At 39.0% G+C, this 16,438-nt stretch overlaps 1 long non-coding RNA gene across 1 annotated transcript in view; it reads left to right on the forward strand.

The window, feature by feature from the left end:
- Positions 1-16,438, forward strand: part of LOC124903780 (uncharacterized) — a 161,687-nt gene that overhangs the window by 14,728 nt on the left and 130,521 nt on the right. Inside the window, exon 2 of the long non-coding RNA XR_007065224.1 lies at positions 4,953-5,098. This is a non-coding gene — a long non-coding RNA (uncharacterized LOC124903780). The remainder of the gene's footprint in view (positions 1-4,952; positions 5,099-16,438) is intronic.

Consider the following 16,438-nt stretch of genomic DNA (forward strand, 5'->3'; position numbering starts at 1 on the left):
TGCAGGCTGAGGAAAGGGCTGTGAAGTAAGGAAGCAAGTATCATGAGGACAGATAACAGAGGGTCCTGACTTGGTGGCCTCCATAGGGAAAGAGACCTTGAGATGAGAGCTAGGAGAATGAGAACTTAATTGAATGTGGAAGGGTGGGTTGACGTGGGGACTGAAGATCCAAGCAGAAGGAATGGGCTATGCAAAGGCCCTGTGGAGAGAGGAGCAGATAAACAGCCATTGCCTACCTTATTTATCTTAGGAATTTAATTTTTCTTTAGTCCTGTCTGTAGCTTTAGGGCTGCCAAAACTGGGAGTTTTTCCTCATAGCAGTAGGTTCCAACTGGCTGCAAAATAAAATTACAATAAGGGGTGTGTGTGTCCTCCTTCAAGCTACCAACCTGTGACCCTTCTCTCAAAATTCTGTTTTAAATGTTCTGAAGTGTGGCCTGAGCATTGGTATTTTTTAAAGCTCCCCACGGTTTTCTAATATGTATGTGGATTTGAAATCACTATCAATCACCAAGCTACTAAGTGATCAGTTCACCCAAATCATGAATCAACTGCTAATCGGTTGAAAGTGGTTAACCCAGTTCTTGAATACAGTTTAGCGACTCAGAGGTGGGGAGAGAGAACTTGAAAATGCAGAGGCTGCCAACATCTCAGACTTGTTAAAACTTACCCGTTGCATCCAGTTTCGTACTTCTTGGCTATGTGCTCACCAAATGGACTTGACTATATTCTAAATTAAATCTCTAGAAGCTGGCCATCAATAAATAAGCATGATGCTTGACCTCTCTGGCTTTCCTAGGAAGAGAGAGTTACTTTCTTTTGTTTCCTGCAGGGCTTTGGGGTATCTGTCTTGGCACTTCTGCCTTTTAATTGCTCTGTTTCTTCCCCCATCCCACAAGGGACTCTTGACCCTTTAGTAATTAGAACCCTTCTTGGTCTTCCTTGTATACATTTCTAGAGCCCAGCACTAATGTCTGCATTTAGTAGGTGCTCATAAACTGTTGGAGAGGCATGCATTTCACAGAAGTCTGGTACATGCTATTTCGAACACCTGTACATCAGGGACACAATGCGTATTCCAAGTGAGCCATGGCTCACTGGGAGGTGCAGAGTTAGACAAAGACAGATCTGGGTGTATACTCTGACTCTACCCCTTACAAGCTGGGAGACTTTATGGTTACTTATCTACTTGGAACCTCAGTCTCCTCATCTGTTAAACAGATTTTAGGAGTAACTGGGAGATTTAAAAAGGCAAAGTATGTAAAACACTCTGTACTGGACTGGAAGTTAGTAGGTCTATAGCAAAATGGGTAGGTTGAATAGATAATAAAAAGAGGTGACCATTCCTAAATTCAGGAGGTGTCACATTGGTCTAAGTTGAGAATTTTCCAGATTCTAGCCTTACTCTCCCTCCAAGAAAATTTAGTCTCCAGCTGCATGTTCAGGAACACTCCTCCATACATTCTGTACTTCTGTTTATTCATCTATCTCCCCTCCTACCCAAGTCTTAACACAGGGACAGGCCTATTATAAATACTCAGTAACCATTTGGTGAACTAATATGTTTGCTTCATCTGTAAAGTGGTGGCAATACTACCTGCCTGATTGATGGAAAAGAGCTGTGTCCAGTGCCCACTTGAAAGCCTTCCAGCCCTGGGAGGATAGTGAGTGGGGGGTCACCCAACCTCCCTGAATGACAGTTTCCCATATGTGCAATGTGGACCATCTCTGTGGACTCTCCCTCCAGCTGCTGCACTATAGTTATTCAAGAGCTGTTCTTTCTATACCTGGTACTCTGGATCAGGCCCATGAAAAGGGGATGAAAGATAAATTATTTCTGGCTCCATCTACTGGGCCAGGGCTTCTTTTATGAAATTAATTTGAGCTCATCAGTCTGTTTATTTGTTCATTCATATACTCATTCACCCAGTATTTATTGAGAATCTGCAATGTAATGTTTATTCCACTACATCTTGTAAATACAAAGAGGAATACTGCATTGTCTCAGCTTTCAAAATGACAGAAATATATTGAGGAAGACAAAAACATGAACCCACAATTTTAATGAAAGAGCAGCTCCTGCTCTTGTTACAGCTGCACTGTGAATGTCTCCAGTGGGGCGGGCCATGTCCGTGGACTGGTTTTATCTGCTCCATTTCTGTGTTGTTTCAGTTGGTCAGAGGGTGCTGTCATCACAGGTAGAAAAGGGTAGAAATGCTACCAATCATCAGCAAACCTCCTCCTTCTAGTAAGGCTCCATCAACAGACATTAGCCTGCTTTAAGCTGAGCTCTACTATAGTACTGGGAGTGTCCCATCAGAGATTCTCCCAAGGTATAGTGACTGCCCTTGAGGGAGGAACCAAAGCCACTCTCATCTGAACAAGTGGAGTGTTATGGATTATAGACTAATGAGACCTTTCCAGGTAAAGTGCCACATTGAATAAATCTCGAAGAACTTTTTTTTTTTTTTTTGAGACGGCGTCTCACTCTGTTTCCCAGGCTGGAATGCGGTGGCGTGATCTCAGCTCACTGTAACCTTTGTCTCCCGGGTTCAAGTGATCCTCCTGCCTCAGCCTCCTGTGTAGCTGGGATTACAGGCATGTGCTACCATGTCTGGCTAATTTTTATACTTTTAGTAGACATGGAATTTCACCATGTTGGCCAGGCTGGTCTTGAATTCCTGGCCTCAAGTGATCTGCCCACCTCGGCCTACCAAAGTGCTGGGATAACAGGTGTGAGCCCCCACACCCAGCCAAATCTTGGAGAATGAAAAGATATTCTCAAGTTAAAAAAAAAAAAAAAGAATGGGAAGGAAAGTGGCATAAGGAAGTATCTTCAGTAGCACAGAGCATTCTGGGACAGATTAATACAGTTCTGTGTGCTAGCACATAGGATGAAGGTGTTGGAGGAACAGGAGTTAAAGTAAGAGAGTTAAGCAGGCACCAAATCCAAAAGGGATCCTGGCTCCTCCTGACCCTGAGTAGCTGGCTTGACAAAGACCAAGCCTCAGTCAGGAATCAGCAGCACTTTGGAAAGGAAGGAAAACAAAATTTGCATCCTGGGATCCATGCCCTCTCTCCCACGCTGGGCGAGTCCCAGGGCTGACTCTGGTCTATCTCCACAGCCTGATGTGGGCGTCGCCTTCACTGTTACAGATTTTCCCAGCTCCTTATCACAGATCCTGTTCTTGTTATAGCAACGCTGTGAATGTCTCCATTGGGGCAGGCCAGGCCCTTGGACTGGTTTTCTCTGCTCCACTTCTCAGTGTTGTTTCAGTTGGCCGGAGGGTGCTCTCATGACAGGCAGAAGAGGGCGGAAATGCTACTGATCGTCAGCAAACCACCTCCTCCCCCAGTAAGGCTTCATGAACAGACATTAGCCTGCTTTCAGCTGAGCTCTAAGAGTGGTGTTTTATTTTTCATGATCCTAGATGTGGAGAATGAATTGACAGGTAGCCAACCAGAGCAAACTACAAAGCCTTGAGATATAATGCCTCGTTACGGGCTTGTAGAGTCCCACAGACCTGGGTTCATATCCTGCCTCTGCTATTTCTTAGCTCTGTGTCTTTACAAATTAATGACATTCTTTGGTCCATAATTTCCTTATGTGTAAAATGAGGACTATTAACACCTGCCTTCTCAGCTTAGTTTGGAGATTCAAAGAGGCAAGCACTTAAAGCACCCTGGGAGCTGTCTGGCACATGGCAAGCACATAATACATGTTAATAATAATGATAATGATAATAGTAATCCAAAATAAAATGTAATCAATTTGACATACCACAAGTTCAATAGAAGCAAATACCTGATTTTTGTTTTGGCTGCCAAAAAATTACAGTGGGAGTTTGGACAAGGTATTAGACTTCCTCTTGCCTCTGTTTCCCTTCATAATACATGACAGGAGTAGATTTGATGAATTATCTATGAGCATTTTTAGTTCTGATAACCTGTGGTCCCTGGAACACAACTGAAGGCTGCATATACACCACTCTTCATCTAGATGACTGTCCTGTGAGGTTCCACATAAAAATACAGTTTCATTGTCTCTTATTAAGTATCCAGAGGGTTTGGATTAAATAAAAAATGACCCTTCTAAATTTTTTTTGAAAGCTTTCACACTAACAACTCTTCCCTCAGTTCGGCAGCATGCATATATGTGGGCGACCCCATCAGAGAATCCATTACATAGCACCATCAAGGATCTGAATAACCCCCTTAAAAGAAGGGGAGTTCTTGTTTCCTGTTTTCTCAGCCCCTGTCACATAGCATAACCCATGCTGAGTTATGTGCACATATTTACTATGCACATATTTATTAGCCAAATCAATAAAATAATGACTGAATGAGTCAATGGATGAATGAACACACCCATCTAATTGCTCCTAAGGTTTGCAATAGGCTCAGAGAGGATGTAAGTAAAAAATTTCCAGACACCTTAACACCTCAGAGGCAAGAGGAATTTCACGTTCATTCTCTTACGGTGCTGGGAAGCTCTCCACAATATACTAACAATACATGTCCATGTCAAGGGAAAGAGAACCCAGGGCCTCCCCAGACAATGTGTTTCATGTTTGGGCAATTGTAACTGTGTTAGAGTCTTTCCTTCTATTATTAAGCCTGAGTCTGTCTCATGCTACAATTAGAAGAAGTGCCAGGCACAGATATGTTTCATCTAGGGAGGTTAATTGGCCATACAGACAAAACCAGTGTGTGTGTGTGTGTGTGTGTGTGTGTGTGTGTGTGTGTAAGCGGCAATGTCATCTGATGGAGTCAGCAAAGTCCAAGGGATTGTCTTGTCTTTGGCCTTGTGATGACATCCACAGCTGGCCATACCTAGGAAATTAATTTATATCAACCAAGTTTACAGGATACCAATGTATAAACTTGATCATAATTTAGTCATTTGAACTGTAGAAACTTCTTTCTCCATGACCAATATGTACCTATTCTAGGCATGTGGAAAATCAACCGGAACTTCAGCTGGTGGCTTAATGAGATAATTTTGAGACCTGTTTCTCCTAGACTGTAAGAGGTAGATGAAATCCTCCACCACATCAGAGGACACCTCTCAGAGTATGGAATATAGTACATCCTCCAGGTCAGTGGCACTTCCACAGAAGAGACCCATTACATAAACTGCCATTAGTTTCCTTTTTCTGCTCGGGACCACGTTCTGTCTGTTGCAGGATATGGGAACTTTGTATATTCAGTGCAATATGGAATAAACAAGGTCCATGTTTCCCACCTTTTCTCACTGTATGACTGAGTTAAGTATCTGTTTCCAGTGATGGATCACCCTGTGGCTTGTGTTTAGATTTTAGATAGGTAAACACAGTTAGGTCATTCTCAGATACCCTGTTCATCCTGATAAACTCATACCTTCCCACATTCCTGCAGGCTCTCATTTTCTGACTTTCTCTTGGGTTGGGCATGTTTACATGTCACATGGATGACATCGCTCATTATTTGAGGATTTTATCGAGGTTTCTGTCAAAAAGAGGAGCAGAACCCATACAAGGGTTGATAATACTACTGGTCCCCTTCTCCACATTGACTTCATCTGCCATATAGATATTTCTTGGGCTCCACTGGAAGTAGGGATGTCCACATAACACAGTTCTGGATGATGAGTTGTGGGAAATGCTTCGCCCTTCCTCTCCCACAGTTTCATCTTCCGCTCAGTTCTAGAACTCTCAGCTGTGTCCATTTGGCTGAAGAGAAGGCATAGAACTTGAGTAAAGGAGGAGGGGGAATGCTCCAGAAATGCAGTAGCCAGGCCCTTCATTCCTGGAGCTGCCCAGGGTGCACAGCCACCTGGGTTCCTGGCTCAGCTGCCCCACTAAACTCTGTAGATTGTGCAGTATTATAGCCAAAAATAATTTAAGTCTACAGGATTTTGATGCAAGATGTCACCTGGAGCTTTCCAGGATTGTTCCTCCTGCCTTTGGGATTCTCCTTGCCTCTCCAAGGGAACTCAGCCTCAGTATCTTGAACATCTGAGCTTCTGTCTCTCCAGCTGCTGGAGTTGCAGGCTGGTGTGATCTGACCCCATCCTTTAAGAGAATAACTCGTCAGGTGCTTCTGTTGCTTGATTACTGGTAGAAGAGATGGATGCGCAAAATCACAGATCAGGAAATGTGTGTTGATCTGTGAACTTGACCAAAGCAAGTGGAAAGACGCAGTAGATAATTTCATTCTAACAAGCATAGGCACAACAAACAGAAAAATGCCTTTGAATTCTGAAGGCATACAACTTTAGCTTACAAGTCAGTGCAGTTTAGACAGTAGTCTTCGAAGACAGGTCAATTTGAGTTTGAATCTTGATTCTAACACTTCTTAGTTGTGAGACTGTGGGCTGTTTACTTAACTTCTCTAAGTCTCAGTTTCCCCATATGTTAAATGGAAATCATAGAATAATCTAATTCCTAATATTAAAATGAATTAAATAAAGCAATACGTGTAAAAGCACTTGGCAATGTGTCTGGAATCTAGAAACTGCATTATAAATGACAGCTATTGTTATGATCATTGAGCTATTAATGATTGTGAAGTTGTGTTGTTTATTAAGATATTAACAGTTATTAAGCCTAATTTTTTATATAGTACAGAAAGTTGAAATTTTATAACTCATATTTGATAATTAATGGTGGCAAGGCCCACAAGATTAGATGGGGAAAGTGGGTTGGTTCATCAATAGGTTATTAATACCAAGCGACAATGAGAAACTTTTTCACCATTGTTTGCTTGTTGGGCAAGATGTCAGGAGCTGATTTTTTTTGCAGCTCAGTTCCAGAACTCTCAGCTGTGTTTGTTTGGCTAGAGAGAAGGCACAGGGCTTGGAAAATGAGGAGAGGGGTATGCTCCAGAAATGCAGTAGCCAGGCCCCTCATTCCTGGAGCTGCCCAGGGTCCACAGCCACCTGGGTTCCTGGCTGGGCTGCTTCCCTGACTGCCATGAGGGATCTTGCTTTCCTGTTCTCTGTCTTAGACAGATAGAGCTGGAATGATTCTTAGAGATTATTTAATCACATTTCCCCAGAAGTGACACCCAGAGAAAAGATAGGATAAGCAGAAGTTATGCACACAATTACTCAAATTATTATTTTCTATGTTTTATTCCCTGGTTATTTTTTCTGCTGTCCACTAAATGCCTGACTACTGATGTGACCAATGCCTGCTATAAAATATGAAAATAGCTATTCAAAAGTAGGAGATGATTAATCCTGAGCCCCAATTTCCCGATGGAAGAACCAGAACAGTGTATGAGACTGGGTGTCTACCCTAACAATAACTCATACATACACTGGGACAAGAGATCCTGGTATTCTCCATGTGTCATCCAACTTTCCTGTGCCCTCATTTTCTCACTGGAGAAATGGGTGTATGCTTCCAGCTGCTTTCCAAGATAACTTGTTGCTTACAGAATCTGATTCTAGTTTTTTAGGGAGTTCTTTAAAAAGAAAAAAAAAACAAAAACAGCTGTGCCTAGTGCCTAGTGTGATTTCAAAGGGCATCCATGCTGATGGAAAGGGTGGACATCTGGCTTTAACTGCCTAGTCCTCATGACCACACCCACTTGGGTGGATCTGGGCTCAGTCCGGATGGGAAGAGGTGTGTCTGAGGCCTGGTTCTATCCCTTTTTTTTCTGGGAAAAAAATTAGCTCTTATTTTTGGCCTTCCTTGGGCAAGTGTAGAAAAAACTCAGAGGGTGGTGAAAAGCCCAAGTGTGTTTTGTCCCTGGTTTCTGAGGCAGTGCATGCACACATTCTTTTTTCAGTACTCGTGTTTCTCTCAAATTGTTCACTGCCTGACTCTGTTTCCTTCGTTCTCTAGCTCATCCTGAGATCTTCTTGTTTCCTTTCAACAACGTGGCAAGTGATGTTGTAATTTCTTTATGGAGCATGGAAGACTCACAGAGATCAGTACCCCAAACACTACATTTTACAGAGGAAACAACCAAGTTATGGAGACCTGGCTTGTCTTCAAACTCATAGTAGAAGAGGCAAAATCTGGTCTCTGGGAGTCCTACCTAAAATGATTTCTTCCATGCCCCAGTGAAAATAAGTAAATTCTGGATATCACTGTCATATTAAACCAGGCTTCCTGGAAATTGACTTAGTGTAACAGAAAAAGAGCAACCTGTGGATTTGCAACTGTGCCATGATTGGAGTTGAAGCCTTCATCAAATTAATCAAGTTCTTTGCCCAGTGTCTCTGTCTGGACATTATTTAAAGCTTGAGTGAGAAGTCAATATGATTATGTGGGCCATATATCTGACTTTTATCCAGTGGGGAGAGTCCATGAAGGACTTGAAAGGGAATTGGTAGCTGATTATTCTGGCTAGAGTGGAGAGTGCATTAGAGAAGGTGAGGAGAGGCCAGAGAGACATCGTGCTAACCCATATGAGACGTGATGGTCCAAACCAGGGCCGTTTTCTTGGACATGGAGATCTCAGCCTCTGGGTGGGAACAGAGGAAGAAGCATTTTGTGGGTTGATGAGTTCCTTTAGGGCTGATCTCAGTGAACTTCTCCAAAATTCTATTTGACCCTTGAATTAAAATCTTGGTATAATCTTTGATCCTCCCTGTAATGTATCCCCAATGCCCATTAATTTCATTGCTAAGCATATCAGTTCTGCCTCTACAAAGTTAGTAATATCTTATTATCTATTGTGTTAGCCACTGTTTGAGAAGATAAAGTCGAATAAACAAGATATCACGATGGATTCGAGTTGAAGGATGTCAGGTTTCAGCAATAAAATAATTCTGCCTTATAAATCTGGTGCTTTGGTGGAGAGAACACTGGAGGAAAATACTGAGTTTGGTGAATGGACTTTGATCTTGGTTTTAGCCATGTTCAGATGTTCAAGGGAAGATTCCAAGGAGAGAGTTAGATAATCTGGTTAGAACCACGTACTTTTAGCATGACCTTGAGTAAATTGCTTATTCTTTCACAAACTCAGTTTCTTCATCTAGAAAATATGTAAACCTATAATACCTCTCAAGACTACTGTTGGATTTAAATGATATCTCTATAAAAGCATTTAGTATCATAACTAGAATCCTGTAAGTGCTCAATCATTGGTAGCTACCGTATTAGTTTTCTAGACCTGTCATAAAAAACAATTATCCCAGGCTGAGTGGTTTAATTTATAGAAATGTATTTTCTCACAGGTCTGGAGGCTAAAAGTCCAAGATCAAGATGTTGGAAGATTTGGTCTCTTCTGAGGCCTCTCTGTTGGCTTGCAAATGGCCACTTTCTTGCTGTGCTTCACATGGTCTTCCCTCTGCATGCACATCCTCAGTGAACCTTTCTGTGTCCAAAATTTCTCATCTTATAAGAACACCAGTCAGATTGGAGTAGAACACACCCAAATAAATGGCTTCATTCTAACTTACGTACTCCTTTAAAGGCCCTGTCTTTAAGTACAATCACATTCCAAGGTACTGGAGTTTAGGACTTCAACATATAAATTTTTGGTGGGGAGGGGGCAGATATAATTCAGCTCATAGCAGCTACTGTTTCATTATTTTACATTTTACTAAGTCACGGTGATAGGAATTTGGGGCTCATTTTTGTCTATAATCATTTTACAATATTTGTGCTTCTCTAACTGGAGAAGCTTGTGAAACATTACCATGTGGTCAGAATGATATGGCATTGAAATCAGACACTAAAGGAGACATCAGCAAGAGCATCGTCCATATGCCCTCAGCCTCATGTGCTCCTCTATTTTACCCTTCTTTGCATTAAGCACTAAGGCTAAATGATTTTGTCATCGTGGCACTTGCTGTGCCAGAGTGAAATTAATCTATGACCAGTACAAGATAGAAAATGCATTCTGCAAACCACAAATCATGCCTTCCCTTCTTGTTGGCTGTAGGTGATTGTTTGAGTTCTCTGAGACAAGTACGCTTACTTCATGTAATGAAAATAAAATGCCTAACTAATGTATCTTATTTTTAAAGGAAGCATCAAAACCTTCCTCTGTCTTTCTTCTGTCCAGGGGACAACTGAATCCCAGGTACTAATGCTGAGTGAATGGGGATGGAGGTTGGGGTGGGCAATGATGCCTTGAATCACTGCTGATACGCCAAGCCTCTGTGCATTGTACTCAGGGTCTCTCGCTCCAGCATTTCCTGTATCCAGCATCTTAAAGGATATTTTCCTTTATAGGAAACTAATCCAAAAAAGAAGATTCTGTAACATGGGCTCAGAACTACTTTCCTGTGCAGAGTATACCCTGAAATAGAGCCTCAAATTGGAGACAACCACAGGAAAGGTGACTTTTCTAAGATGAGGTATAGTCTATGTGAAAAATAACCCCTGAGCAATGAGATTTGAGGTGTATGAAAGTCACCCTGCATTTTGGGATTATATGCATTAATTTATTCATGTGTTCATTTATTCATAATTCATTTAACAAATGTTTATCATAGCGGTGGGGAGTGAGAGGTCCAGCTTTGAGAAAGTAATGAGGAGGAAAAAACACTAAAACTTAACGTAGATTTTCAGATATCATTTAAAATCTTCCCAGCAATCTTTTGGGGTGTGTCTTTTTCTATGTACTTAATAAATGAGAAAATTATGCTCTGTTCAATATGATTGATAATAATGACAGTGATCAAAGATTGAGCACCTAGCGTATGCCTGTACTGGGAGCTTAAAAGGATTATCTCACTTAACTCTCACACCGCCTTTTGAGGTCATTGTATTAGCAAAACCCATCCATTTCTCCTTGCCAGCATCTGTTCTCTCCTTTTGACCTCATAAAAGAGATCCTTACTTTGGGAAATTCTTTTCTCTCATTCTTAACCCATATGATTTCTGTGGGGCTGACACTACTGTAGGCTTCAGGTGTAGAGACCTAATTCAAGCATGGCCTAAAATGTAGAACATCTACCTGGATTGAATATTTTACCCAGGGTTTCCTTTTATAACTCAAAGCTTTGCTAAAACTATTGGTGAAGAGGCTCTCTCTCTTCTAGAGAGGCTAGGCACTTAAAGAATAGTTAAGTCTGGACCTGCCATGTACCATCTTGTCTACTTATAAATAAAAATCAAATGGAAATAGAGCTGGCAAGGGGATATCAGAACCCAGAGATGAATAAGAAATAACATTATTTGAGTGGCTACATCAAGCCACATATGACAGTATACAAAGCTTCTTGACTTTTGGGGTATGTGAATAAATAAATTCCCTTTCTGGCTGAAAATAGTTTGTGTTGTACGGCAGTCATTTGCAGGAGATATAGGTGATTACAGAAACAGAGTCATGAATTCATTAATTTGTCCAAGGCCACACAGATAGTAAGAGTTGGAGTGGAGTACTTGCCTAAATTTGTTTGGATTTGAGGATTGTTGTTATCCAATCCTCATTTCTGAAGTATGTTTTTTCTGAATATAGATATCTGTGTTGACAGTTGATCTAAAAAGAGACTCAAGCTTTTTTATCTAAACTACAAGCAAAGAACAATAGCTTCTGCCTCTCTATGTGGATTATTTTAGGTTAGGTTACTCCAGAAACAAACTATGATATAAAGATCCGGGTACAGTTTGAGGTAGAAAACATGTTTAACAAATGCTTATAAACATGCAGTCCTTTCTCTATGAGATCTTCCAAATTATGAACGCCCTGGGCACCTTGGTTACCACTGCCATGCACAGGATCATCTAAGATATATATATATGTATATGTATATGTATATGTATATCTGTGCATAACGCAGAGGGTATACCCAAGATACCCTCTAGGCCTCACTGGGGTGTTGGAGCTCCTGAATGACTCCCAGAACTTGGCTTCTGGAGATTTTAATATGGAGGTCTTAGAAGCTCTGAAAATCTCCTCTGGGTTCTTGGGTGAGATATTTGGAAGTGCCAGCTCTCACCTTCATTGTTTTGTAGTTGCCAGCTTCTGATCATACTTTTACTTTGCTGGCAGTCAAACATGGCCTTACCCTGTCTCTCCCCAAGTGGCCAATTTGGTAGATAATTCAGGAAGCACTGATGGAGGAAAGTGGAAGTAACTCAAGAAAGGGAAGACAATAAAGAACATGTAATTCACCAGCTTATTACTGAGGGAAGTTGGGATAAATTCTCCCTGAAGAAGTCCAGATACAGTGTAAAACAATCTTCTGTGTGATCTTGAAAGACAAGAAAGCTGGGATATTTTTCCACTAAGCCCTGTCAGCCATTGATTGAGAATTGCTCCCTTCACAGTTAATTCTGCAGTACTTCTGGTTAGTAGAACAGGTACTAGTGGCTCTAGTGACTAGAAAGAACCTTTGGGCAAAGAGTTGTAGGTGCAAACAATTGGAAGCAACCACATGAAGAAGGAGAGTGTTGAGGGGATGCAGGCAGAATATGAACAGTATCATTTAAAGTTAGAGTTAGACAGTGACAATTGCCTTATGCCTTGGTAGGCTATGGGAATGTGATGGACATAGAAAGAGAGAGGAGATACAGGATGGATTTACTCTTTGTTGAACAAGAACAGAGAGACAGGGACACAAATGTGATTGATGTGACTATGAATTATGTTGGCTGGTGGTAGTAAGTGGGAATTGTCTTGCAAATGTGACTCAAACCAGAACACTAGATAAAGTTTGAAACAGTTTGGTTCACACTCAGGCATTGCCAATTTAAAAGCAGTATCAGTCTCCACACTGTTTTGAAGGAGGTTTTATTTTAATAGTAGCTAAAGTGTAATCTCTCCCCAAATTTGCCCAGAATATTAATGTAAAACATCATGTTTCAGTGTAATCTTATTGGGCAGATTGTAAGTTTCTTGAAGACCATGATTCTGACCAAACTTGCCTCTATATACATAGAACCTACCTCACTATCTAGTACACAGACAGTGCTTGAAGCATTTTTGTGAAATAAAATAATTAAGGACTCTGAATAGATGGTTTATAGGACCCATGACTATATCAAAGCAGTCTCTCATGTTGAGAAACTCCTTTAGCACATCAGAGATGTCTCTGTCCACCTACCTGGAGGAAGCTGAGAGAAGATACACACAGAAGATCCTCAGCCACAAATCTTGCACCATGAGCAATTACACTCAGAGTATTTTATATTAGGAATGAGAAGTGGTAAAGGTTTTTTATAGACATAGGATGATCTGGAATGTGAAATAACTTTGAGGTTGTAATACTGATAGAAATACAAGGACCTTGAAAAGAGGTTTCCACACATTTTTATCTCTAGTAATATCCCTCATCTTGAAATCTACTTTGACTGATAGTAACACAGCCAGTCCAGATTTCTTATGATGTTTCTTTCACATATCTTTTCTTCTTCCAACCTTTTACTTTCAACCTAACTGGGTCTATATATTTAAAAGGCATCTCTTATAGACAACATATAGCTGGGTTTTGTATGTAGTTGGACAATCTCTGCTTTTTAATTCATGTTATTAGTTCATTTACATTTAACATAATTATTAGTAGGGTTGAATTTGAGTCTAATGTCATGTTTTTGTTTTTTATTTGTTCCTGCTGCCTCCTGTTCCTCCATTCTTGTCTTCCTAGAATAAATCTACTTTTTCCATTATTTTTAATTGCTGTATTGCTTTTTAGCTATTTCTTTACTTTTTTGTGGTTGCTCTAAAAATTACAATAGACATCTTTATTTCATTCAAGTCTATGAATAATTTTATATGACTTCATGTAAAATGTAAGAAATTTACAACAGTATAATTTTATCGCCTCATTTTGGTGCTAATATTGTTCAATATTTCATATGTGCATATGTCATAAATCCCTTCAAATGTAGTTATTTTTTAAAATTTATGTCTTCAGTTGTCCTTAAAAAATTAAGGAAAGCAATAAAAGATAATCTCTTACATTTATCCAAATTTTTACTATTTCCAGTGCTTGTCATTCCTTTGAAGTTCTAAAATTCTATCTGATGCCATTTCTGCTTCAGCCAGAAAAAAATTCTTAAGCAATTTTTGTGGTGCAGGTTTGCTTGTGACAAATACTCTCAGCTTATGTTTTTCGGAAAATTTTTTTATCCAATCCTCATTTCTAAGGTACTTTTTTTTCTGAATATAGAAATATGTGTTGACAGTTGCTTTTGGAGAATTTTAACAATCCTGCTTCATTGTTTCCTGGCTTCCATTCTTTCTGATGAGAAGCCAGATATCATTTATAGTATGGATCTCCTTTATATACTAAATATTTTTCCTCTGGCTATGTTTCAGATGTTCCTTTTCATATTTGTATTTCATCAGATAGACTGAAATTTCTAACTATGTTTCTTTTTGTATTTATCCTGCTTGGGTTCCAAGAACTTGGATATGTAAGTTAATTTCCACCATCTTTGGGGAAATTTTGGCCTTTATTCCTTCAAATAATTTCTCTGTTTTATTATCTGTCTATTTCTGGTACTTCAATTACACACATATTAAACTACTTGATATTGTGTCATAGTTCACTGGAACTCTGTTATATAAAATATTGAGTTATAATTTGCATATTATAAAATTTACTCTTCCAAATTATACAATTTGGTAATTTTTAGTCTATATGCAGGTTTTTGAAACCAAAACCACTCTCTAATTTTAGAACATTTTCATCAACTCCAAAATAAATGCTGTGCTCATGAGCAACCACTGCCTATCCTCCTTACCATTCCCCCTGGGCCTAACAATCATTAATCTACTTATTTGTCTCTATAGATTAATGTAATCTGTTTTTATAGATTTACATTAACTGTCTCCATGGATTTGTCTTTTTTGGACATTTTATGTAAGTGTCATTTAATATGTGGTCTTTTGTAACTGACTCTTTTCATGTAGAAAAATGTTTTCAGGTTTTTTCCATGTCATAGCATGTATCAGTATTTCATTTTTGAGGGAGGATGGGGTTCAGTAAAAACCAAAAAAATTATAATAGAGCTTTAACACTCGTAATTCATTTTTAATTTTCAAATAATATTCCATTTTATGGAGATACTCCATTTTGTGTATCCATTCATTAGTTGAAATATATTTGGGTTGTTTCTAATTTTTATCTATTTATAAATAATATGTATATAAATTTGTGTATTAGTTTATATGTGGATGAATGTTTTTATTTCTCTTGGAGTATAATACTTAGGAAAATAATTTCCAGGACATATAGTAAAGATACGTTTAACATTTTTAGGAACTACCAAAGTGTTTCTCAAAGTGGATGCACAATTTTACATTCCCAGCAGCAATAAATGAAGGCTCCAATTTCTTCACATCCTCACCAGCACTTGTCATTGTCTGTTTTTATTATATTCCTTCTAGTGAGTTTGAAGTGATATTTCTCTGTGGCTTTGATTTATGCTTTTCTAAAAACTAAATATGTTGAGTATCTTTTCATGTGTTTACTAGTCATTTGAACATCTTCTTTGGAGAAATATCTTTTCAAATTCATGAACCATTTTAAAATTTGTGTTATCTTTTATTGTTGAGTAGTAGAGATTGTGTATATTCTAGACACAATTCCCTTATTAGATAAATACTTTCTACACTATTTATCTTATTCTTTTTGTTGGCTTTTCAATTTCTTTATGGTGTTCTTTGAAGCACAGAAGTTTTAAATTTCTATATAGTTCAATTTATCAATTTTTTTCTTTTGTTGATTTTGTTTCTGGTATTGACTTCGGAAACCATCACTCAATCCAAATTTATAAAGATTTACTCTGAGAGACCAGGTGTGGTGGCTCACACTTGTAATCCTAGTATATTGGGAGCCTGAGACAAGATAATCACTTGAACCCAGGAGCTTGAGACCAGCCTCAGCAACATATCGAACCACTATTTCTAAAAAAAAAAAGAAAAAAAAATTAAAATTTAGCCAGGCATGGTAGCACACACATCTATAGTCCCAGCTACTTTGGAAGCTGAGGTGAGAGGATCGCTTAAGCCGAGGAGGTTGAGGCTGCAATTTGCCTGGATCATGCAACTCTACTCCAGCCTGGACAACAGAGTGAGACCCTGTATCAAAAAATAATAAGAAGAAGAAGTCTTATTCTTATTATGTTTCCTCCTAAGTAATCTTTAATTTTAGTTCTTACAGTTAAGTTCAATTATCCATTTTGAGTAAATTTTTGTATATGGTGTGAGGTAGAGATTGATTCTTTTGCATGTGGATATCCACATGTCCCAGCACCATTTATTGAAAAAAATTCTTTCCCTATTTAATTATTTTGTACCTATTTATTAATTTTAAATGATTTCTAAGGGTCTACACATGAATTCTATTGCTTTGCCTTCAAGTTTACTAACGCTTTCTTTTGTAATCTCCAATCTACTGTTAGCCTATACAGTACCTTTTTTTAAATTTCAGGTACTGTATTTTAAGTTCTAGAATATCCATTTAGTTATTTTCTATACTTTTTTTGTTCTTTCCTGCTACTACTTCCTATTTGTGCACTCTTTACAATAATCTTTCCCTCAC

Source organism: Homo sapiens, chromosome 16 (assembly GCF_000001405.40).
Source record: "Homo sapiens chromosome 16, GRCh38.p14 Primary Assembly".
NCBI lineage: Eukaryota > Metazoa > Chordata > Mammalia > Primates > Hominidae > Homo > Homo sapiens.